This window comes from Homo sapiens, chromosome 6, assembly GCF_000001405.40.
Source record: "Homo sapiens chromosome 6, GRCh38.p14 Primary Assembly".
NCBI lineage: Eukaryota > Metazoa > Chordata > Mammalia > Primates > Hominidae > Homo > Homo sapiens.
Genome location: NC_000006.12, coordinates 125,955,215 through 125,981,616, shown reverse-complemented (window position 1 = coordinate 125,981,616; position 26,402 = coordinate 125,955,215). Strand labels below are relative to the sequence as shown.

At 38.0% G+C, this 26,402-nt stretch overlaps 1 protein-coding gene and 1 pseudogene across 1 annotated transcript, besides 3 other annotated features; one reads left to right on the top strand and one right to left on the bottom strand.

Annotated features, from left to right (window-relative positions):
• Positions 1 to 1,372: 1,372 nt before the first annotated feature.
• HINT3 (histidine triad nucleotide binding protein 3) lies at positions 1,373 to 24,847 on the bottom strand. Its single transcript, NM_138571.5, has 5 exons — positions 24,439 to 24,847; positions 14,613 to 14,730; positions 9,289 to 9,358; positions 6,644 to 6,770; positions 1,373 to 3,973 (listed from the first exon to the last, which is right to left on the bottom strand). Exons 1-5 carry the CDS (start codon positions 24,637 to 24,639, stop codon positions 3,941 to 3,943), a joined length of 549 nt encoding a protein of 182 aa, NP_612638.3. The 5' UTR covers positions 24,640 to 24,847; the 3' UTR covers positions 1,373 to 3,940.
• On the top strand, positions 1,683 to 1,805 carry RNA5SP216 (RNA, 5S ribosomal pseudogene 216; annotated as a pseudogene).
• Positions 23,625 to 23,674: an enhancer, noted in NCBI's record as "active region_25033". NCBI's record gives its function as "activates an Ori minimal core promoter by ATAC-STARR-seq in GM12878 lymphoblastoid cells {active_cell/tissue: GM12878}" and the evidence as "EXISTENCE:reporter gene assay evidence [ECO:0000049][PMID:35858748]".
• Positions 24,345 to 24,564: a silencer, noted in NCBI's record as "silent region_17524". NCBI's record gives its function as "represses an Ori minimal core promoter by ATAC-STARR-seq in GM12878 lymphoblastoid cells {active_cell/tissue: GM12878}" and the evidence as "EXISTENCE:reporter gene assay evidence [ECO:0000049][PMID:35858748]".
• Positions 24,735 to 24,834: an enhancer, noted in NCBI's record as "active region_25032". NCBI's record gives its function as "activates an Ori minimal core promoter by ATAC-STARR-seq in GM12878 lymphoblastoid cells {active_cell/tissue: GM12878}" and the evidence as "EXISTENCE:reporter gene assay evidence [ECO:0000049][PMID:35858748]".

Genomic DNA, 26,402 nt, shown 5'->3' with positions numbered 1-26,402 from the left:
TTTCAGTGAAGACTTCATGGATTAGGAAACATTTGAACCTGGACTTTAATGGAAACAGATTTTCAAAGGTGTGCCCAGTTTAGTTGTAGTAGTAAAAATGGCTAGTACTTTGGTATAAGAGCAGGAAACAAAGCTGAAAAGGCTGATAAATTATCTTCAGGGTAAATGGCGAGATTTTCATAAGAAAATTGCATGATCAATTTAGTAATTTAGTCAGTAATTTAGGAAGAACTCTGATGAGGCTATGTTAGAAAGGGAGCATCTGGGGGCATGAAATCCAGTCAAGAGTTTCTAGCAACATTCAAGGAAAGAGAGAATGAGTATCTGCAAAGGCAGAGACACTGGGCACTGAAAAGAATGAACTGATTTCTGTTTCAGGTCCCTTCAAGGGGACAACCCGGTGCCAAAACTTTTTGTGTGTATCTGAGGGCAGTGTTTAGGATCTGTGGGTCTGACAGAACACTCAAGCATACATGTTCTGTTTGTTCAATGTGTAAATGTGTTGAGAGGAGACAGTAGGGTGGGAAAGGACAAAAGCAGGGGGATAGTGAGGAAGCTACTCCTGCAATCTAGATAAAAGATGATGATAACTTGGCCAAGGTGATAGCACTGATGGGAAGTGGTCAAATTCTGAATATATTTGGAAGGTACTGCCAACAAGGTTAATAGGTTAGATATGAAGTGTGAGAGACAGGACTCAAGCATGACTCCAAGATTTTCACCCTGAGCAATGGAAAGATTGGAGTTGCCATTAATGAAGATGGGGAAAACTAAAAGGAACAGGCTGGGAAGGAGGAACATTTTAAGCTTGAGATGTCTATTTCATAGGAATAGAAAATATTATACTTAAAAGATATTTGGCTTAAGGATTGGTTTAATTAATGCATGATTGTTCATTGTGAATCTGTCTCTACTTCTGTGATTTTAAATAACTAATCATGTAATGAGGATCTCATTCTCCTCAATCAGAATTGGACTTAGACATTTTCATTAAGTTGATTTCAGCTGAGTCAGATCTGTTGTTTGTATTTATATTGCAAGGATAAGAGCTGATTCATAAATAGGTGAATCAACAAGTATTAGTTTCATTTTAGTGACTTGGAGTACTTGTACCTAGTACATACTAAAAAATTAATCAAAGTTGTGGGCACCAGCTTTTGTAAATGACTTTTTCATATCAAAATCTAGAAGTATGTAAGTTATAAGTGTTACAATAATAAAGGCTGTGCTCTTAACCTTGGATTCTTTATATGAAAGAGGTGTGTTTACATCACTACAGTATACCTTTCATACACTGATCAGCCAATTTATAAAACATCTTTCATTTGAATTTCTGTTTTTAATACTACTTAAAAAGTCCAGACAGGCAAAATTTGACAGTATTTTTCCATTTTTATTTCATTTTCTTCTAGCAGTTTGAAATAGCTCATTAAACAGTTCCACAAATAGTATCACAACATGCATAAACAATGCTCTTGATACCACTTCAAACATTTTTAAGACAGGTTATGAATTAGCCTTGTTTTGAACTAGTGTTATAGATGGCTAGGGAGTTACCAAATATTTAGACTACTGAAAAGGCTAAATGGATATTAATTGTAGTAATTTGATTATTAATCTTTATAAGTAAATAAGAACCTCTACTAAAAGATGTGTTTCCAAGGGTTTTTAACAAATAGGTTGTCTACGGCCATACCACCCTGAACGCGCCCGATCTCGTCTGATCTCGGAAACAAATAGGTTTACATGAGAGCATATAAACCTATAAAAGTTGAATCAATTGGCTAACCACATTTTTGAAGAGGTCCATAAGGCATCTGAGAATTCCTTAAATACTTTACCTATTATTGTTTTTTTTTCTTTGAGACAAAGTCTCACTCTGTCACCCAGGCTGGAGTGCAGTGGCACGATCTCGGCTCACTGCGACCTCCGCCTCCCGAGTTCAAGCAATTCTCTTGCCTCAGCCTCCCCAGTAGCTGGGACTACAGGCATGCGCCACCATACCCGGCTAATTTTTGTATTTTTTTAGAAGAGACGGGGTTTCACCATATTGGCCAGGCTGGTCTCGAACTCCTGACCTTGTGATCCACCCACCTCGGCCTCCCAAAGTGCTAGGATTACAGGCGTGAGCCACCACACCCGGCCTACTTTACCTATTATTGTTAAATAATGTTGTCAATTATATCACTGCAAGTTCCCACAGTAAAACAATCAAAGATTGCAGTTGTTGAAAATTCCTTCCCTGAAGCTAGTCATATTCTAACTGATTTATGGAAACTTGTAACTGTTAATCTATGTAAGTGCTCAGTGAACTATATCATAAAACAGTGATAAAAAAATCTCTCTAAATCTACTTTTGAGAGCCCATAACCCCTACTTCCACATCCTTTCTCCACCTTCAGTAAATAAGATGAAATCTGAACTTCATATCCATTGTAAAGTAAATAATAGTGGAAGCAGAACTCAACGAAAATACTTGTAAGTTTCTCAGCCTAACCAGTCACTGTCTACCTGCCTAACATTCAGTCTTGAATACTCAGTTCTACTACCACCCACTCTCAGAAGTGTTTATCCCTTCACAGCCTCTTCTGGCTGTGAAGGCATCAGGGAACTTAACGCACTAAATTCTAATCACTGATTTTGTTTGACCCCTGTACTAGCAATTGCAGTCTGAATGTCCATTTTTAGTTCTTTATTTCCTGATCCTGGCAATATCTGGTACACATTAAATGTTCAACAAATGTTTGCTGAATGAATAAATTAATGAACAAATAAAACTATTGATTCCACATGTTGTAACTTTGTAATAAGTAATTTGTTACTTAAAACTATCTTTAATATCATGCCCCCTCTAAAAAAGAAAGAAAACTAGTATCTCAGCCTATTTTCAACAGTTCGTTAATCCTCATGTTCATTTATTCATATTCATTTACATGGTACTAATATACACTGGCACAATGTAGGATTAACTTGCAGCACCTACTCTTCATTCATATTCACTATTGTGCCTATAGATTAGCACCAAAAAACCAATTTCTAACAAAATATACCTATGAAATATCAATAGTATTAACATTGCGTTATCAATTTTTCTCATCTAAGCCTATCTCTACCTTCAAATCAGGCCCTTTTCATGATAAAAGCAAAGTTTAACCTCTGATTTCTCTTTGATACAAAAACATGCCATAAAGCAACATTTTCTGCTAGTTTTATTAAGAGAACCACTTTATGTTTCTTCCCCCTTTATGTTATTAGAGGCAAAATTCCATTACAGTGAATTCTGATAGCCAATTTGATAGTTATTGTAAATTCATTGATATAAATTATATATATTATATAGCTTTCAGGATAGATTTATTAAAAAGATGCAATGCTTCAAAAAGTGAAAACTGGCATCTGAAATTTGAGGAAAAAGTGGCACATATATAATTCCTTCCCTCAGCAAAATCAGAGATCATTGTGTAGTATGGTATTCTTTATTTTGAAAATTTATGTGTATAACTATAGAACTGTCAAGAAATAGCTATTTTTCTCCTTCACAGTAATAAAGGTTCCCACAAAGTACTTTCTATAGTAGTTTATTCTTCATAAATAAATCACTATTATAACTGACTACTTACTGAGAAATGAAAATATTTTAACTTAAAAAAATACAGAGCCCTTGTTGATTAACAGAATTTGTCTTAAATAGGATTTTATCTATAGTATCATATATATAAAATCCTTATACAAGTAACCATTGAAACAAGTCAGTAACAAAATATTCACATAACTGTATCACAGATCTTAGGAAACAGACATTCAGAAAAGATTTAAGGCCACTAAGTAACAGCCTCTCATAAAACCCAACAAATCTTAAAATTGCAATTAGACTTAAAAGGGACCTAAATACCACTTCATGCTGAACCAAGATTAGAAAAATCTTCCACTCTTGACATTTTCATGTTCTTAGTTTTTCAATCAAGTGATCAGCCTGTAATTAAAAAACATACTTTTTAATTCTAGATATCATAGTCTCTATCAAATAATTCTACTGGTATCCCTATTATAATATGCCACATTAGAAGAGTTGAGTACTATATATTCTGTTCCTAAAAATATCTTACAAAAAAACTCAGTATAATATCTATATATAATTATTCTACATTGTATGTAAATAGGCAGATTGTTGCCTACATTGCAAATTCATTAACAAGTTTCAAGAAGAAAAGGAAAATAAATATAACACTAAAGTTTTAAAAAGTAAAATAAGACCTGAAATGCATATTACTAAGTGAAAGAAGCCAATCTGAAAAGGCTACATACTGTAGGATTCCAACCATATGACATTCTGCAAAAAGCCAAACTATGGAGACAATAAAAAGATCAGCAGTTGCCAGGAGTTAGAGGGGAAAGAGGGATGAATAGGCAGCATACAGAGGATTTTTAGAGCAGTGAAACTGTTAGGTATGATGCTATAATGGTGGATACATGTCCTTATACATTTATCAAAACCCACAGAATATAAAACCAAGAGTCAACTCAAAAGTAAACTATGGACTGTGGTGATAACAATTTATCAATGGGGTTCATTGATTGTAACAAATATACCACCGTGGTGTAGGATGTCATAGTGAGGAAACTGTACATGTGGAGGGGTAGGGGGTGCGTGGGAACTCTGTAGTTTCCACTCAATTTTGCTGTGAACTTAAATCAGCTCTAAAAAATAAAGTCTATTTTTTAAAAAGGTAAACTAAAGTCTGTGAGTTACATCATTTCAGTGTTTTTCTCAATCACACTATATAATCTGGATCATTATATAAGATTTTGAAATTAACTTCAATATCTTTATCTTGATTTTTTTCAAAGTCTCATAAGATACGCTAACAAAGTCAGATTTAAGAAGAGTTCAGATTCTCAGGATAAACCAACAACATATTTTATAAGATGTTTTCCAAGTAAAAAAGTATTTCCTATAAGAAAATACAGTCAAAACATTACAAAAATGTATTTTCATTCATCTTTTATTATAAAGGTATAGCTCTTATAGAAAATTAGAAATACAAATATAAAAAAAAAGCATTTTCTATTACACAAACTTTGCAAAAAAAAAAAAAAAACCCAAACCAGCTGTCCGGCAGAATATCCCACTTTTTAAAATTTCAAATACATACACACACACATACATATATATGTATCTTATATATTATTTAATTTTTTATTATTTTTTGAGACAAGATCTCACTCTGTCACCCAGGCTGGAGTGGAGTGGCATGATCACTCACTACAGACTCAACATCCTGGGCTCAAGCGATCCTCCTATCTCAGCCTCCCAAGTAGCTAAGACTACAGGCATGCACCACCATACCCAGCTAATTTTTGTATTTTTATATTATTTAAATGAAATCATCTGGGCAACAAGTTGAAGACAGGGATAATATGTTTGAAATATGAAGTTTCTAGAAATCAGACACTTTTTAAATTTTTCTGTACTATGACTAGAATAATACCATTCATTAACTAATGATAAATAAATACTATTGGATGATTATTCAGATATGGCAACTACAGATCACTTTGTCATCATGGACACATAAAATAACACCCTGGTAAATTAGTGGTCAATTGGCCTTAGAGGGACCCCAGAGTCACTTAATATCTAAGGGCTGACTTTCAGACCACAGGTGTATAAACAGCTGAACTCTACTCCACTTTTGCTTTGGAAAAGCAGAATGCTGTAATTTTTTAGACTCAAAACTTCAGGCCAGGCACAGTGGCTCACACCTGTAATCCCAGCACTTTGGGACACCAAGGCGGGTGGATCATGAGGTCAGGAGATAGAGACCAGCCTGGCCAACATGGTGAAACCCCATCTCTAATAAAAATACAAAAATTAGCTGGGCATGGTGGCATGCACCTGTAGTCCCAGCTACTTGGGAGGCTGAGGCAAGAGAATAGCTTGAACCCGGGAGGCGGAGGTTGCAGTGAGCCAAGATTGCACTACTGCACTCCAGCTTGGTGACAGAGTGAGACTGTCTCAAAAAAAAAAAAAACAACTCTTCAGCCACAGATCTGATAGGTGATGCTACTACTACAACTCTTTTCTAAGGAATTTGAACTATCAAAAACTACAAAAACTCAATTTCTACAATGATGTTGATGATACAATAGAGGTAGCAGGTAACATTTCCTGACACTTACTATTTGCAAGGTACTGTTTTAAGTGCTTTTCACATAAGTTACCTCATCAACTCTCTTATCAACCCTAGGTATAGGCACTGTTACCTATATGCAGGTAATAGATAAAGACCTTGAGCCTTAAAAAATGTAAGTAACTTTCACATGGACCCTCAAGCAAGCACTGCAGCCAGAATTTGAATCCAGATCTGACTCCAGAGTCAGAACTCTGAATACCATGGTTCTTCTATATCGTATCTGCTACTTGCAATGGGGAAGATTTAGCCATAGCTTCTCTTCCTACAGACTGATGATCTTCAAAATCCCCCAAATTAAAAATATTATTTTGGATATGTGCAAGCAGTATGTTAAAACAGGTAATCAAGTCTATGAGAGCTGTAAGTGCCTACTGTTGAGAAGAAAAAACTACAATGAAAAGGATATTTTAAATATTTTTGTATGCTGCTGACATAACAAGAATACTCACTGTGATAAACCAATAGGAATTGACTCTATAAACCAACTTGGATAAGAAGCCAAGCTGATCCACTGGTGCCAGAACATGAAGGTGCAAGTGGGAAATGGAACAGAATGGTGGCATATGAAAACCCATCCTAAAATAGAAAGTAAAGAGATGATTGACAAACCAGTTCTAAAATAAAGTCATTTTTCAGGTGAAAACACATAAATTTTAATGAGATCCAAAATAAGTACCTAAGGTAAATAGACTGTCACAAATCTCATTAATGTTTCTCTTTATGCACTTCAGAGGATTCACACACTTCCTCTTCTTTTCATGTTGAAGTTCGTAGTAACATAAGCTCATCATCAAGGAAGGCCTTAACAGCATATTACGCCTCAATATAATCTTTATGAATTCTGAGTTGGCATAATGTCTTATCACTTCAGTCTTTATCATCGTAAGCTTTCATTCTCTTAAAATATGCTCTTGCAATGAATTTTTAAAAACATCACTGGACACTCAAGTAGTCGTGTTCCTTTATTCAATACATAGCCAGTAGATGGCACACTTTTTCCTTTAATAAAGTACTCAGACATTTCCCACCAAACCAACAATATTTCAGTAGTGAGATTAATTATGTCATCATAAAAAACTTTCGTCATCACCCAGGTTTCTTGTTTAATACTTAAAATAAGTTAGATGATAATGATAATTATGTGCTTCCTAAAAGATACACAAGAATTCCTTTAAATGGTTACAAAGTTTTTAAAATATGATTTAAACTCTTAAAAATAAGCTTACAAAAATTTTTGCAAGTCCACCTATGCTCAGCAGAGCAACACACACCTGTAACAATAATCAAAGCCTAGAAATATTTGCCTGTTCAAGGTATCAGTGAGTGGAAGTGTGGAAAGGAGGCATAGAAGTGCTATACTGCAGCAGTGATCCTCTGGGACTAGCAATGTGGAGTCAGATATGCAGTACATACTTTAAAATTTCCACCACCACCTAGAAGAGGAGACTAGGTTTTCCTTCTGCCAAACAGTCATATAATGTAGAATCAAATAATCTAGAAGCTTGAAGCAACTCAAAGGTTCACTCAATCTTTTCATCTTAAAGATGGAGAAGCCATGATCCAGAAAGTTTAAAATATTCCCAAGGTCCCAAAGTTAGACAGTCGTGGAGCTGGAGTTGAGACTCAGGGCTCTCAATTCTTTGTCCAGTGTTCATTCTTCTAATAAGTATCCTATGACTGTGAAGGAAATGTGTGGCTTCTGGCCAAAGGGTCTCAAACACCATTTGTTCCTTGTCATTATCACACTTGGTAATACTTAACAGTTTTTGGAGGATTTTTCACACAGAGAATCTCATTTGCACCTACCAGCAGGCAGAGCAGGTATTATCTTGGAGAGGCTAAATGGCATGTCTAAACTAATACAGACAGTGTACGTAGAGTACACCACAAGTAGCATGGATGGCATTAGAATTCAAGTCTATTCTGAATTCTAGGTCAAAAGTGTTAGAAGTAATCTCCATTATACCTGCTTGGGTCACAGAAGCAAAATTGGAAACCTTTTAAAAAGAAAAACATTACTTAGACAAATTAAAACATTTGAAAAGGCCCGGCGCAGTGGCTCACGCCTGTAATCCCAGCATTTTGAGAGGCCAAGGCGGGCGGATCACTTGATGTCAGGAGTTCGAGACCAGCCTGGCCAACATAGCAAAACCCTGTCTCTACTATAAGAAATACAAAAGCTAGCCAGGCATGGTGGCATGCACACACAATCCCAGCTACGTGGAAGGCTGAGGCAGGAGAATCACTTGAACTCCGGAGGCAGAGGTTGCAGTGAGCCAAGATCGCACCACTGCACTCCAGCCTGGGGGACAGTGCAAGACTCCGTCTCAAAAAAAAAAAAAAAAAAAAAAAAAAAAGTTGAAAAATTGAACATCATGTGCTTACGCCAGAGTTCAGCAGACAACAAATTCAAGTTAATTTCACGTTAGAATTATAATCATGTGTTTTTAAATCATATAAAATTTTTCTAAGAAAATTCAACTTGCATACAGTTTTATAGGAATGCCCATATTGAACAAAGAAAAGTAGATTTGCTGGGTGTGGTGACTCACACCTGTAATCCCAGAACTTGTGTGAGGCTGAGGCAGGAGAATCACTTGAGCCCAGGAGTTTGAGACAAGCCTGGGCAACATAGGGAGACCCTGTCTCTACCTAAAAAATTTTAAAATTAGCCGGGTGTGGCAGTACTTGCCTGTGGTCCCAGCTACTCTGGAGGCTGAGGTAGAAGGATACTCAGTCTGGGAGGTTGAGGCTGCAATGAGCCATGATCACACCACTGCACTCTAGCCTGGGCAACACAGTGAGATCCTATCTCAAAAATTTTTTTTTAAAAAGTAGACTTGTAACTATTTTACCTACCCACTGCCCATATAGACTTGTCTGTCCAAACTTCAAGTGGAAATTATTGGAAGATATTGAGACACAAGAGGAAGTTTTATTACATTTATACTACCAATGAACTATATTCTCACTTTCAGGAAAACTACATTTAAACCACAAACTGCCACCTCTGTTTCCATTTTCCATGGAGAAATGACATTTTGAAAAACGTCAATAATGTATAATATTGGTTTCCATCTGGAAGTATACACACCTCACATTCGTGAAGTCAGTGAAATTATTTCTTTCAAGAATGGTTTTTCCAACAGTTACCATGTTCTCAACTGTAAAACAGAAAAGACACAACATTACACTAGAGGAGACATTAAGGTCACAAATTGCCATTGATCTTCACTCTTGTCCTATCAAATGGGTAAACATTTAAAGACACATTCAGGCCAGGCACAGTGGCTCACCCCTGTAATCCCAACACTTTGGGAGGAGGATCACTTGAGCCTAGGAGTTTGAGACCAGCCTGGGCAAAAAGGTAAGACCTCGTCTCTAAAAAACATTTTTTAAAAAGTAGCTGGGTGGCCAGGCGCAGTGGCTCATGCCTGTAATCCCAGCACTTTGGGAGGCCGAGGCAGGCGGATCACGAGGTCAGGAGATCGAGACCATCCTGGCCAACATGGTGAAACCCCCATCTCAACTAAAATACAAAAAAAATTAGCCGGGCGTGGTGGTGCACACCTGTAGTCCCAGCTACTCGGGAGGCTGAGGCAAGAGAATCACTTGAACCTGGGAGGCAGAGATTGCAGTGAGCCGAGATTGAGCCACTGCACTCCAGCCTGGTGACAGAGCAAGAGTCTGTCTCAAAAAAAAAAAAAAAAAAAAAAAAAAGGTAGCCAGGCATGGTGGTGCACACCTATAGTCCTAGCTACTCGATACGTGGAGGCAGAAGGATTTCTTGAGCCCAGGAGGTCGAGGCTGCAGTGAGCTATGATTGTGCCACTGCACTCAGGTCTAGGTAACAGAGTGAGACCCTCTCTCAAAAATAAATAAATAAAATAAAAAATAAAGACATTCAGTAGCTTTAAGTCACTGAGAAGTTTGCTTATCAACAACTGAAATAAAGTTTCAAATTGAGCCTCAGTGCAACATCACTATCACAAAATCTCACAGATAAGTAGACTTTAGGACAGCTGGCTATTTAGGACATCTGATCATATGAGGACTAACTCTCATCAAGAAGACCAAGTAATTAAACAGAAATTGTTTGATTTAATAAGACAAGAAAACTTTGAATTTGTCTTTGAGCCCAAATTAAGGATATGGTATCCCTTCCAGTCAGCCTATCCTTGACTAGCCAAAAATTTGTATAATGACTCTGGCTTCCAAATTCCATCTCCTTTATCATCTTTCTTCTCTTGGTGTTTTATGGCCTTCAGGTGGGAATAAACCTGTCCACCAAAAAAATTTTGGTCACCTGGGATCTTCAAAGCACCATGCCAAATGTTAGGCCTCCATAGTTTCTAAATGGTGTAATCATGTATTTGAAAGACGAAGAAGTAAAAACATCTACAGAGGATAGCTGATATATTGAGACTTACAAAATCATTGTTAATGTTTACTTCTTTAAGTCAGGTTTGAGCTGGGAGACTGCCAGCCTTCCAAGACTAGGTCAGTACCATAGAGTCCAAAAAAAAGCTCCAAATTACTTCAAGCCAGACTATATCTTTTTTTGGAATTTTTTCTTTTTCTAATTTAATTATACTGTCTTTAGAGAACATATTTATAAGATTTCAATCATTTGATATGTATTGAGCTGTATTTTATTGCTCGGAATATGGTCAACTTTGGTGAACATATGCTTTTTAAAAAACATGTATGCTGTATTTAAGTGGAGTTCTGTAAATGTCAATTATAGTCATATTCCTTGATAGTGTTCTTGAACTCTTCCATATGCTTATTATTTCCTCAACTTTATCAATTATATAAAAATTATTAATTTGCAACAACTTTTAGTATGGAAATATTCAAATATAACACAAAAGCAAAGAGGAAAATGTAATGGAATCCCAAATACCTACCAGCTGCTTCAAAATTAGCAATATTTGATTTGCAACATTATAAAAACTAGTTATAACAGCCTCTATTCTCCACTTCTGCTGAATATAAATTGAAAAATTCCTAAAAAGCTAAAGTGTGAAACCCAAGAAATAACTACAAGAATGAAAATAAAAACTTTTAATAAGAAAGATGAAATGTTTCAATCAGGTAAATCTAAATTGGATCTAATTGTTATAAGCTCAAATGTACAGTACAGGGTACTGTAGTTATAAATCATATATGTTCTCAAATGTACTGATAGAACTTCAAATGACTAAGGAACTTAGCTGTATTCAGAATCGACAGTTTAAAAATTGTTAGTTAATTCACTAGCCTAAATATTAATGAACTACACATCAAGGTTTTCCATTAAAGTGGTTTCTTACCTCTTAAAAATCTAGCCCAATTGATCTATCATGTAGGCTACCTTAAAATATTGATCAAACTAATCCCAGAACCTCATGACAAAGCCTTTCCAGATTTCAGAAGTCCTAGCCAGAGCAATCAGGCAAGAGAAAGAAATAAAAGGCATCCAAATAGGAAAAGGAGTCAAACTATCTCTCTTCACCAACAATCTGAGTCCATACCTAGAAAACCCTGAAGACTCCACCAACAGGATCCTGGAACTGATAAACTACTTTAGTAAAGTTTCGGGATACAAATTCAATGTACAAAAATCAGTAGCATTTCCAAACACAACACTCAAACTGACAGTCTAAATCAAGAACACAATCCCATTTACAATAGCCACACACACACAAAAATACGTAGGAATACAGCTAGTCAAGGAGGTGAAAGATCTCTACGAGGAGAACTATAAAATGCTGCTGAAAGAAATCATAGATGATACAAACAAATGAAAAAACATTCTATGCTCGTGGACTGGAAGAATCAATATTGTTAAAAAGGCCATACTGCCCAAAGTAATCTATGGATTCAACACTACCAACATCATTTTTCACACAACTAGAGAAAACTATCCTAAAATTCATATGAAACCAAAAAACCCAAGTAGCCAAGACAATCCTAAGCAAAAAGAACAATGCTAGAGGCATCACGTTACCCAACTTCAAACTATACTATAAGTCTATATAACCAAAACAGCATGATAGTGGTACAAAAACAGACACACAGACCAACAGAACATAACAGAAAACCCAGAAATAAAGCCACATACCTGCAGCCATCTGATCTTCAACAAAGTTGACAAATATAAGAAATGGGAAAATACGCCATATTCAGTTAAATGGTGTTGAGATAGCTGGTTATCTATATGGAGAAGAATAAAACTGGACCCCTACCTTTCACCATATACAAATATTAACACAAGATGGATTAAAGATTTAAATGTAGGACCTCAAACTATAAGAATCCTAGAGGAAACCCTAGGAAACACCATTCTGGACATCAGCCTTGGGAAACAATTTATGACTAAGTCCTCAAGAGCAACGCAATAAAAACACAAATTGACAAGTAGGACCAAATTAAAGAGCCTCTGCACAGCAAAAGAAACTATCAACAGAGTAAATGGATAACCTACAGAATGGGAAAAAGTATTTGCAAACTATGCATCTGACAAAGGTGCAATATCCCGGATCTGTAAATAAATTATTAAACAATTAAACAACCAAAAATCACCATGAAACAATGGGCAAAAGACATAAACGGACACTTCTCAAAAGAAGACATACAAGAGGACAAAAAAATATGAAAAAAATGCTCCACATCACTAATCATCAGGAAATGCAAATCAAACCCACAATAAGATACTATTTCAACACCAATCAGAATGGCTATTTTTAAAAAGTAAAAAAATAACAGATGCTGGTAAGGCAGAAGAGAAAACATAACACTTACATGCTGTTGATGAGAATGTAAATTAGTTCAGCCACTGTGGAAAGCAGTTTGGAGATTTCTCAAAAAAATTAAAATAGAACTACCATTCGACCCAGCAATCCCATTACTGAGTATATATCCAAAAGAAAACAAATTATCCTACCAAAAAGACACATGCACTTGTATGTGAGTCACAGCACTATTCACAACAGCAAAGGCATGGAATCAACCTAGGTGCCCATCAGCAGTAGACTAGATAAAGAAGATGTGGTACATATATACCATGTAATACTATGCAGCTATAAAAAAGAATGAAGTCATCTCCTTTGCAGCAGCATGGATGCAGCTGGTGGCGATTATTCTAAATGAATTACACAGGAACAGAAAACCAAACACTCTGTGTTCCCACTTATAAGGAGAGGGTAAACACTGGGTACTCATGGACAAAAAGATGGCAACAATAGACACTGGGGACAACTAAAAGTGGGAGAGAGAAATGGGGGCAAGAGGTGAAAACCTAACTGTTGGGTACTATGCTCACTACCTGGGTCACAGATCATTTGTATCCCAAACCTCAGCACCACACAATATACCCACGTAATAAACCTGCTCATGTACCATCAAATCTAAAATAAAAGTTTTATCTAAATCTTCAAATCTAAACCGTCAAATCTAAAATAAAAAATTATCTTTTTTAAAGGCAGATTTGAAGTAAGCTTAGAAATGTCTTAGAAAATGATAGGTGACAAGCCACAGAAGGCATGAGTAGGAAAATGAGCAATCATCCTTAATAGACAAGATTCAGAATCTCCTTTTCAGAAGCTAGAAGTTCATCACTAAAAACTCATAATTAAATTTTGGTGCTAATTCATCTTCACAGGATACTATAAGGCAGGTACCAACATGATCTCACCATAAGGCAATATGAGCTCATTTGTCATATCGTAACTTGTTTGTTTATAATTTTTCATAGCACCTTTCATTTCAGAGTCAAGAAAGTCCATCATTTAAAAAGTCATAGAAATAGGCCAGGCACGGTGGCTCACACCTGTAATCCCAGCACTTTGGGAGGCCTAGGTGGGTGGATCACCTGAGGTCAGGAGTTCAAGACCAGCCTGGCCAACATGGTGAAACTCCGTCTCTACTAAAAATACAAAAATTAGCCAGACATTGTGGCGCATGCCTGTAAACCCAGCTACTTGGAAGGCTGAGGCAGGAGAATTACTTGAACCTAGGAGGCAGAGGCCGCAGTGAGCCGAGATTGCACCACCGCACTCCAGCCTGGGTGACTGAACAAGATTCTGTCTCAAAAAAAAAAAAAAAAAAAAAAAGTCATAAAAATATATTATCTTTTGGACAGTTTAAATGTTAAATAGCATGATGTCTGGTTTATGCTTCACAATCACTGTGGGAAAAGGTTAATGTATTTTTTAAAATTGTCCATGAGTTCCTAAATGTGGAGGCTGCATAATGAATACACGAGTATTATACTATTTTTTAATGAATTTAAAATTCTTTATAGTGAAAATTTCAAAAAGTCATAATGCTCCTTTTTCACAGTACTTAACTAGACTTTTTCTTTTTAATCTTCACTGCCATCACTGATACCAACTGAAAATGATATAAACATGAAGAATACTGCCATCATCTTACCCAGTTCTACTTGATCTTTCCTTAGAGTTCTGCAGTTTCCAATATGCTTCTTTGGCACCACAAGATAATGATGAGTTGCTGCTGGTTTGATATCTTTGAAGCAAATTAGGTCCTCATTCTAAAGGAAAAAACATTTGTTAGTGAATTTTTAAAAAGAATTTCTTAATGCTGTTCTGGCATGACTTAAATATCATTAATCTCAGTCTGACAGGGAAATGATACTTATGTTACACCTAACCCCCACTGGGCAATTTTATAATTACGCATTAAGTTCATAACACTTCCTTCATGAGATGCTTATTGATTCCAGAGAATAAAAAAGACACATAAAATCAATTTTGGGGAAACAATTATGAGTAAAGTTCACTAAAATTTCATTACCAATAATCTCAGAGTTTATTATTTCATTACACATTTCTCTATCCCTACCCTAAAGTTTTTTACCTTGACACATATTTTTAAAGGTTTGGCTACAGAATCACAACAAGATAGATAAATTCCTTTCTACATTTAATTTTTTTCCCAACGTAGCATTTTCCTCAATTATAAAAAGAACACCAGCTAGCATTTACATGTCCAGGGATTGCATTTTTTAAACACTTTTTAAAGCAATTATATCCAAAGACTTTTTTACTTGCCACTTTACAGTATTAAAAAGACTGAAATGCTGAAACAAATTCCAGTATATTGTACTAATTTATGGGACCACTACACTACATGTATGGCATCAGTTTTCTGGTTTACATTACCCCACACAGTAATCTACAGAAAAAAGAAAAGGAAAGGAAGAGCGTGTTTCAACCTATTAACATTTGAATTTCGAACTTTCCTAAAAGAAAATTTATATTCACTAAATAACCATATTAAATATCTGATAGTGAATATCTTATTCAGTATCTTATACTGATTTTAATTTTTACTTTACATTAAATAAAAATTAATTAAAATCAGTGTAAGCAGAGTTTCCCTTAGAAAAAATCCATGAATGCAATGCTGCTCAATAGTTCTCTGTTCCAAGAGCCAAAATTCAATTCAAACAAGTGCGTCATATCCATTCCAGTAATCCTGGTTATCCTAAGATAACAAACATGATAATTATATATCAATTTTAATCCATTTCTATCATTTTTATTATGGTTTTTCTGTCTAGTATTAAAATTAAAAATTGATATCCATGGAATGTTTTAGAAAAGGATAAGGTCAAGGACTACACTGTTTTTTATTGTTTAAAATTTTCCTTTTTTCCTTTCTTTCAGACAGGGTCTCTCTCTGTAGCCCAGGCTGGAATGCAGTGGCACAATAATGGCTCACTGCAGCCTCGATCTCCTGAGCTCAGTTGATCCTCCCACCTCAGCCTCCCAAGTAGCTGGGATGCACATCACCATGCCAGGCTATATATATATATTTGTAGAGATGGAGTCTCCCTATGTTATCCAGGCAGGTCTCAAACTCCTGGACTCAAGCGATCCTCCTGCCTCAGTCTCCCAAAGTGCTGGGATTACCATTATTTCTTTAATACTTCCAGCTCAGAAACAATTAAAATTGGGGGTTAAATCTAGTACAAGAAAATTGCCACAATCCTACTTCCCAGATTGATTCATAACACAATAATGTTATATATCTTTATTTCCCCTCAATTACGGCATTAATTTTTTAAAATCCAGAGGTAATTCTGGTACAGAATACAACCTGGTTAGTTTGAGATGATGTAGCTGTACTCTACCTCACAGCAGGAATGACACTTCTTTAGATTAACAGAACTAGCAAGTGCCAGTCTAATGGCTAGCAGGAGAAAAGCTAAAGCGGTTCCTAAAAATCTGCTGTCTCATACTGCATAACTTAGCGATAAGAATGAACCAAAATGCTTAGTTTTGTCTTCCAACCTCTATATTGAAAGGTTTTGGTTACTAACTCTCATATATCAATAATTTATTTTCCCAATCTTAATTAATTACACAATCCCAATCCTAATAAAAACTACCAATCAACATGACTCTTATCACCAGGAATAGATAAAATTCCTCTCAAAAATATAGAAACTTGATGTTTTAGTTAGCCTACACCCTGACTAAATTAGATTTCCATGAAGCTTTCTGAAATATTGAAACTAGCTCTGATGTCACCCTTTGTCCCATTCCTACTGCTGATCCAGGCATCATTTACATGGTTCATCTTAAGAAAAATGATCCTCCTATTCCATAGATACGCTGGCAAAAATATGAAATGATTGTGTGTGTGTGTGTGTGTGTGTGTGTGTGTGTGTGTGTATAAAACTATTCTTTGCAGCATTATTCATGATAGCAAAAGACTGAAAAATAAACCAAACATTCATAATGCAGCTGGGCGACTGGTTTAATAAATTATGGCAAATCCACACAATGGAGTATTGTGTGGCTCTAAAAAGGAATGAGGAAGATCTTCATATACATACGAAATTATTTCTAAGATATATTCAAGTTTTTTTAAAAAACAGCAAGGAGCAGGAGAGTGGTTAAGCTATCTTTTGTGTGTAAGAAAGAAGAATACAAATACAGACATGTGAATACCTATTTACTCACAATGGAAGGATAAACAAAAAAGTTTTTAAAAGTTTCTTATGGAGAAAGAGACATGGTAGAGATGACAAGAGAATGGATGCTAGATTTCTCCAAATGTACCTTGCTTTACAATTTTGACTCTGAAAACATGTAAATATTTAACATGTATACATCACACTTCACAAGAAAAAAAAGCAATCCCTAAAAATAAAAAACAAACAATAAACCTAACTGGATGTCATGTTGGTAGCATAATCATTCCATTCAAAGAAGAGAATGATTTCAAGTGACTTAAAGATACAGTATTTTGCCTATCCATCCCTAATGACATCCACTAAAGAGCATTTTCATTCCTGCACTGAATTTGGATCACAGGGAAGCTCCTCAAGTGTGGGGCATGCCATATTCATCTTTGAACTCCAAGTGAATAACAAAGTACGCCTGCCAAACTGCTGAATAAATAAATGACAGATGCTTCATAGAAGATAAAGTTACTGATACACCCTTCTCTACCCCTTAAAAAATGGTGTGTCATTTGGGTTTTCAGGTATTTTTCCAGGAACAGAGATGGATTTTCTACGATCTTTCAGTTTCTCCTTGCAAAACCCCTTCTTAAATTGGAATTGTGGCCATTTTTGAATTAGATCAGTGTGTCTCAACCTTTTCTCATTAACACCTCCCTAAGGAGACTTTATAGATGTTTTCTGATTGCCCCCTCCCATGATGTTTTAATGGCACAGATACAATGTATATATGTTTATGTTCTGTATGGTATACCTATGCTTTACATATAAAAAGAATAAAAATTGTTTTTCTCCTGCCACCTCTGCTCTGCCCCAGGGAAGAACCAACTTTTATCCTTTTGGAAATGCATGGATTAGAGGAAGAGCTAGCCTATCCTGACTTCATTATCACCACTGACTCTAATAAACAATTTAAATACAACGAATAACTGTTTCAGATTTCTTTAAATCTGAAAACCCAAATAGGGCAGACTGGCACTCAACCTCCATTCTAAATATTTCTGTGCTTTCTGTAATGCAGAACTAAAAAAGCTAAAAATCCCAGAGGGAATTTAGATCTTGCCAATCAAAAAGCCATGTTTTTGCTGCTTCTGTTATCATCCATCTAGCAAACTTGGCCAGCTTTAAGACTACAAAGACAGGTTTTCTTTATCTTTCTCCCCCTCCCCCTTTTGAATACCTTATCACTAGCTTCACGGATGTCAAGAATGGCAAGACATCTATTTTTTGTTGGGAAAAAGCTGCCAGCGTGGACCCAGCAGATGGAGTGTGGCTCTGAAGCAGTGTTTCTCAACCAGAGGTGGAAATACATAGACGCCCTTTTGATCACGCATACTGCTAAAATTTGGTGCGCCGAGATCGGGGATGCTAACCATCTTCCAACAGGGGACAACGTTCAAGTTAAATTGGCACTGAGTTATTTCCTCAGTATAGTTCCAAGCAAGGTAAATTCTAGTCCAGTGTTACTCAATTACTTTTTCATTATTTTTTATCTAATGAGCCTTTTAAGACTTTTTTTTCTTCTAATCCCATCTCCATGAGATTTTAATACCACAGCTACACTCTCTGTTTATGTATATCTGTGCCTCATACATGAAAAAGTAAGATATTGCCCCACCACCACCAAGAACCAATTTTCACCCCTTTGGGAGTGTCATCTGCCCCATTAAGAATGCATGGTTCAGCCTTTGCTTAGTTTTAAATCTGCAGTATACAATTAGACAACACCATATGGAGGTTTATGGAGTGAAGAATCTTCTACAGCTTTTGCTGGAAAGGTTTGCCAGACTAACCCCTCATGATGCTGGTAACTCCAATTTTTCCAAATGGAAATTTTTCTCTTTTGTACCTGAATTACACTTTATATAAACCCAACAGTTTCTAAATGTTTGCAATGAATATATTTGAATGAGTATATGAATGTATGATGTAAACCATCGAATTATGTTATGTAGTTATTCTTTTTAAAAAGATTAATCTTTACCCTTTAATGAGTGAGCTCTTGTACATCAAGTCATCTTAGATTCAATTTGAAAAAGATACACAACCTTTGGGAGCACTATTATACACGCATCTGTATCTTACGTTTTGTATTATACGGTTATGTGTGTGTGATATATATATATATATATGTGTGATATATATATATATATATGTGTATATATATATGTATGTATATATATATATATGTGTGTATATATATATATGTGTATATATATATATATATATATGTGTATATATATATATATATATATGTGTATATATATATATATATATATATGTGTATATATATATGGGTTTCCATCCACGATTCCTGGCTTATAACTCCCAATGCCCTTGTTACAGTCTTTTGTTACCATGTCGAGGCATTTTAGGCCTCAGAGACAGGCCTCAGAAAAAGAATCTCTCTCACAATCTCTCTGCCCTTCTTTTGCCCTCCCCTCACCTGCCCAAGTCAGGACTATAATCTTCCCTGACCTTTCTGATTGTGGGTCATAAAACCCTCATTTCTGAAGGGATTCTGCCTCATACCCTGGAGGAAGGAAAGCTTCACAGAGAGGCCAAGAAGAATCTGGACAGGCCTTGCTGGGTTTCCCCACTCAGTCTACTAGTATTAGATCATACCCTTTTTGTCCAGTCACATTAATACAGAATTGTCAGTCAGGCCTATCCAATGAAGACTCCATAAAAGGCCCCAGAGAACAGAGTTTAGAGAGCTTCTGAATAGCTGAACTCATGGAGGCTCCTGGGAGAGGACACGCCTGAGGAGGACATGGAAGCTCTGCCCCCTTTTCCCCATACTTTGGGCTATTCATCTCTTCAGCAGCATCCTTTGGTATATCCTCTATAATAAACCAGTAAACCTAAGTGTTTCCCTGAGTTCTGTAAGCCACTCTAGCAAGCTTTAGAACCCAAAGAGAAGCTTGTGGGATCCCCAACTTCAAGCTGGTCGGTCAGAAGTTCCAGAGGCCTGGACTTGCAACTAGTGGGAAGGGCAGGCCAGTCTTGGGGACTGAGTCTTCAACCTGCGGGATCTGATGCTATCATCAGGTAGATAGTATAAGAATTGAAATGGAGGACAACCAGCTGGTGTCTGCTGCAAAACTGATTGTTTGCTTGGTGTGTGGGGGAAAACCTCCATACATTTGGTCACAGAAGTGTTCTGTGTTGATTGCTGTTGTTGAATGGGAAAACAAAAAAAGCACAGTTTGTGTTTTTCCACTGACAATGGGCTATTGTATATATTCCCCGTTTCCCTAATTTAGGGTGTAAATTAGTTGAAAGTACTGATCATGTCTTATTTCTACCATGAAAATATCCCCAGTCTCTTCATATTGTTTACTTTGTTCCTAACCAAGAAAAATTCTCACCTTGGATGTGATAGAAGTCTGGATCCCACCCCTTTTGATGACTATTTTCAGACAAAGCTTTCTACTGCTACTAGTATCTATTTTCTATTAGTTTCATTATTGGAACTGCAGAATACAAAATTTAAAAGCAGTTTCTAAGGATCTACTAAATATTGAACTCTGAGTTTAAAAATGCACTTTACCTCTCTTTAGCCTACTTTTATATTTAGTAAAATAAAGGGAGACTGAAGAGGCAGAACTAGGTCCCTTCTGACTCTATGGGTCAGTCCAACAAAGGTCTGCAAACAGAAAACTGATGTGCGTATTCTTTCTCCCTGTCAGGTGCTGTCTTTACTTCCTTCTCCTATTCAGCATATATTCCATGGTCTACCACTTCAGCCACTTGCTTGCCCTAACTTCTTTTTTTTTCCCCCCCCCCAGAGAGAGTCTTGCTCTGTCACCCAGGCTGGAGTGCAGCGGCGCGATCTTGGCTCACTGCAACCTCCACCTCCTGGATTCAAGCAGTTCTCCTCCCTCTGCCTCCCAAGTAGCTGGGATTACAGGTGCCTGCCACCACACCCAGCTAATTTTTGTATTTTTAGGAGAGATGGGGTTTCACCATATTGGCCAGGCTGGTCTCGAACTCCTGACCTCGTGATCCGCCTGCCTCAGCCTCCCAAAGTGCTGGGATTACAGGCGTTTGCCACTGCGCCCGGCTCCATAACTTCTTAACTGTGTCTCACTACACTTCTATAACAACCACATGGCAAAATCCCAACCCTGGGTCAATACAACTGCCTACCTTGTGTAATCTCAGCCTTTGGCTGCTGCTGGAAAGTGGGAAGAAAATCACACAACTAAGCAGACTGGTATGACCTGAAATTGAATGTCCTCAACCTCACGTGACCCGCTGTACAACAATCCTTGTTTCCCTAATTCTCTCTCCTAGCCTTCACAGGAGCTACTTCAAACCTTTTACTTGTAAATAACCATATAACCATATAATTGCTCCTTCTCCTTTTTCAAGGCTTAACCCAAATGTCACCTGCTTAGTGCAGATTTTCCTGACTAAAATTTTAAAACTGCATCCCCTTCCTCTTTATTTTCTGCCATCTAATAAACTATAAATTTTACTTATTGTTTTGCTTATTATCCTTTTCTGCAACGACAATGTGAGCTCCACAAGGGCAAGGAGTTTTGCATGTTTTGTTTACGGCTGTATCCCCATGCCTCCAACAGTGCCTGGCACACAGAGAGTGAGGAATGAGTTTCCTCTTTCCCAGGGTCAACATTCTACCCGCCGGGCCATTTTAAACCTCTCTCTATAGGCATCTTCCCACTGGGATTTGAACACACAAAAGGTTTCACTGTTTTAAAAGCTTTCTCTTAATCCCCAACTTCTCCTGTAGCTACCACTACCTTTCCCTCCTCCCCTGGATTGCCAAATTCCTGTGAGAGTTGTCTGTATTTGCTGTCTTCACTCCTTCCTTTCCCAAGTTCTTCTCAATCAACTGCTATCTGCCTTTTGCTTCACCACTTCATGAAATTGCTCTCCTCAAGGTCAATGAACATCACTTTGGGGACACAACCAGTCCTGCTCTGACTCTGCAAGGACATACAAGGGTCATCTAACCCAGATTTGAGGATGAAGGCAGGCTAATATTGCTGCTGACATTGCTGGCAATTCCTTTCTTTTTGACATACTCCCTTCTCTTAGCCTTTCCAGCGTTCCTTCTATTTCTCTGTTCCTTCTCTATTCCCTTTCCAGGTCCTCTTCCTCTGTCTGTCCCTTATGATGTTAGTGTTCTTCAGAGTTCTGTGTAGGCCTCCCCTTCACTTTTTACCTCATGGGTGATCTCATCGCTTCCCTTCTTTTTCAGTTTCCATCTATAAACCGACAGTTCCTGTAATCTGGGTTAGAGATACAGATCCCTCTACAGAGTGCTAGACTATCCAACCATTTAAAAGACATCTCTACTTAGATGCCTCAAACTCACCTCAAACTCCACAACTCCATAGCTCAACTCATCGCTTTGCTACCTCCCACCACTCCCCTGGCCATCTTTTCTCCTCCTGTGTTCCCGAGCTTAATGAAATGGTACCACCACTACTAGTTTACCCTAGCCAGAAACCTGGAAATCATCTTTGACTTCACCCTCTTTCATTTCCTTATCCTCTTATATCTAAATCAGGGTTTCTAAACCTTGGCACTTCTGACATTTTGAGGGCTGGATAAGCCTGTTTTATGTGTGTGTGTTGATGGGGTGGTGGGGGTGCTGTCCTGTGCACTGTACCATGTTAATAGCAACCCTGGCTTTTATCCATTATTTAGGTCCCAGAAGCAACCCCTAGAAGTGCCAGAAGTTGTTACAATCAAAAGTATCTCAATACATTGCAAAATGTACCCTGGGAGGGCAAAATTGCCCCCAGTTGAGAATCACTGACCTGTATCCATCAAGTCCTCCCTGTTTTACCTCCTGAATACTGTATCCCTTAAATTGATATACTTTTCATAATCTCCTCTACCACATTCTCATTTCAGGCCATCATCAGGGTAGATTAATCTACTAGCCTTCTAACGGGTCTCCATACCTCCAGACTGGTCTCCTCCAAATCATTCTCCACAATGATGCCAGAATGACCTTTCAAAGATCAACCCCCTTCCTATAACTCCGCAACATCTTCCTCCCAACCCACCATTAAACATTGTGAAGTTTCACTTTGCTCTTCAGATAAAGACAAATTCCTTCACATGACTTCCAACACACTTAATAATCTGGTCCCTTGTTTACCTCTCCAGCCTCGCCTTTCATCCTCTCAAACTCTATGCACTAGTTAGACAATTTCTGTTAGTTTTTCTATCACACAAACTGAACCTCTCGGGGGGTCTCTCAACCTGGGACATTATTCTCTCCATTTCCTCATCTGATCAACTCCTACTTATTTCTTCATGTCTCATTTCCTCTGGAAAGCCTTCCCTAATTCTTCAGAGCTGGGTTAGATGCTCCTCCCACAAGCTTACAAAATACTGTAAAATCACCTGACCACAGCACGAGGCATTGTAACTGGCTACCTCCTCTGTATACATTCCGCCCTTTAGATTGTAAAATCGGGACACAGACTGTCCCTTATCTTGCTCAAAAACCTCCAAAACAAGGTGCTTAGAAGGAATTATATTTATTTTTTAAAAAATAAAGGAATGTTTACTACAAAAGACACAATCTTTGGAGCTAATTCTCTCAAAAAGTTGTTTCTATATGGACAAGTAAAACCAACAGAATAAAGTGTGTGCCAGATTATCCGTTTAAAAATATCTGGGCAAAGTCTTCATGCTCTGAAAATGTCCACGCATCCCAACTGACAGTGGAATTCAGAGGCAATTCAATAATAGTTTGACCTCAGACCCACTCCCTCCAGCCTATTTTCTGCCAATCTAACAAACAGCTTTCCACAATTATCATTACCTATTTTCTACTAGTTTTCTCATCAGTATCGGTATTAGAGTGTGCAGGATTTAAAATCAGTATCTTGAAGGTGGAGAAGAATCCTTGTAATAAAAGCAGAGGCCACAAAATGTTATTTGTACCAACTACCTGGGTACCTGCAAACATAGGCCAAAGCATTCGGCCCTGTCATTCACTCTTTGCCCCTGGGAACAGCAAAGATACCGCTGGAGCCACTGCCTGTCAGTCCCCTAGGAGTGAGTCTGTCATCAGCACCCGGACCCTGCAGAAAGGCCCGTAGTGGGCGTATCCCCAGCTTCCCCGAGCCCCATCCACACAGAGCGGCCCTGCCTCTGCGAGCTGAGTAGCGATCGGGATCCTCTGCACCCGCTCCACAACGGCGAGGCCTCCCTGCCGGAGCTCCGAGGGGCGGCCAGGTCCTCACCCACCCCCGGCCGCGCGTCGCCGCCCACCTCGCAGTGCAGGAGTTCGGTGCCCGGGTCCTGCCGCCCCGCGATCCGGCAGAACACGCAGGTGCTGTCGTAGTCCTTGGGCTCTGGTGACTTGCCAGCGGCTTCACAGGTCCCCACTGAGGAAACCGTAGTTTCTGCAGTCGCCGAGGCCTCACAGTCGGGGGCCAGGCCGGCGCTGCGGTTCACCTGTTCCTCCGCCATTGCACCCGCCCCTCGCGGCCTAGAGCCTCGGCCTCTCCAGGGCTACCGGGCCCGCGCAGTCTCCGCGTCCCGCACCTCCTCCGTTTTACCTCGAGACGTCGCCCCTCGCCTGACGCTGGGCGGTGATCCAGGCTTTGGGGAGAGGGAAGGAGACGCGGTGAGGAACTTCAAAGCCGGAGGCCGGCCTCAAAACCGGCTGCCACTAGAGGGCGCGCAATGGCGCTGCCGAGAGTCGTCCTGACCCCTGCGCCTCGTTGGTAATGACGCACGACGTCTGCCAAGTCGCAGAGCGCCCAGCGCGTCGTGGTGACATCACAGAGGCGCGGGAGCGTTTGACATAATGGAGCTTGTTGGGTGTTCTGGACAGGCGTTCTTCAAAGCCCATAGTATAGCGTGTCCAAATATTGTATTACGCTGCCGTTTTTTTAAAAAAAAAAACAAAAAGTTTTTTAAAGTTTGATTTTTAAAATTCGTAGGTTTTTAAAGAATGAGCAAAATTCCTAAAGCCTTGTTTTCAACAGACATCATGTTTGCTGCTTTTTCAGCCACGATAATTGTAGGAGTTTAAACTCAAAATGTCCAAAACTGACCTTTACATCTCTGTTGACTTTTTATTGTTGTTAACAGCACAGTTAGATCAAACTAGCGACCTTTTTTTTAATCTCACATTCCTCATATACAAGTAGATGTGGAGTCCTATAGTCAATACTCTGAAATATCCCAGAAATTCAATGCCAGTGCCTCATAATGCCTCACCTAGACCAACGCAATCACCTTCTAACTTACTTATTGATTTTCCTGTCACTCAGACAAAACCTTCTGTAACTATGTGCTCAAAGAAAAAGTACCAGTTCCTTAGCTTGGTGTTCAAGGTGGACTCTGATTTGACCTCAGCTTTTCGTTTTGTGATACTTCCCACTTGCTGAGCATCTAAAACATGCCATATATTTCTCTAATTGTCAAAAAACGCAAGGTTGGTTTTATAACCACCGCTCTAGAGATGAAGGACCAAACTCAGAGTTGCCCAGTCCCACACAACTAATTAATAGTGACAGAGTTTAAGATCAAGGTTTGTCTAACTCCAAAACCCACCAACCTTTTTGACATACAGCACTCCTTTTTTAACACCAAAAAATTTGTTGGACTAGCTCACTATAGTAGTTACACCCTTGGTATTTGCTGATTTAGAAAATACATAACAAATTGGGAATTCAGTAATGATTTTTAATGGATTTATGTTGTAATAAAAAGTGGTTGTATGTGTTTTGAATTGTTGTACATATACATTCAAGACATTTTTCATTCCTTTTTGTAGTTGGCCCGTAGTTTGGGGAACCACTACAATAGCTTCACTGCCTTTCAGCACCCCAAAGCAGAGTTCAGAATCAATACATTAGAGTTTTGCCAAATTTTAGTATTCACAATTTCCATGCCTGTACTACACCTTCACATCACTGCTTTTATTCACACAGTTCTCTCTCAAATATTCTTGTTTCCATCTCTTCACTCCAAATTCTACCTTCCAAGCCACCCCTCCAATGCTACCTCCTTCATGAAATTTTCTTTAGCCAAACTGACATAAGCACATCCTCTTGCAAATTCATATAACAGGTTTTCAATATTTCTCTTGTAGGATTTGTCTCTTTGTATCTTATAGCTATTTATGTACTTATTTATCCTGCTAGGAATTATGTTTCTTGGCAACAAGATTGGGTGTGTGAATCTTCCATAATGCCTAGTACAGTTGGAACAGGAATTAAAGA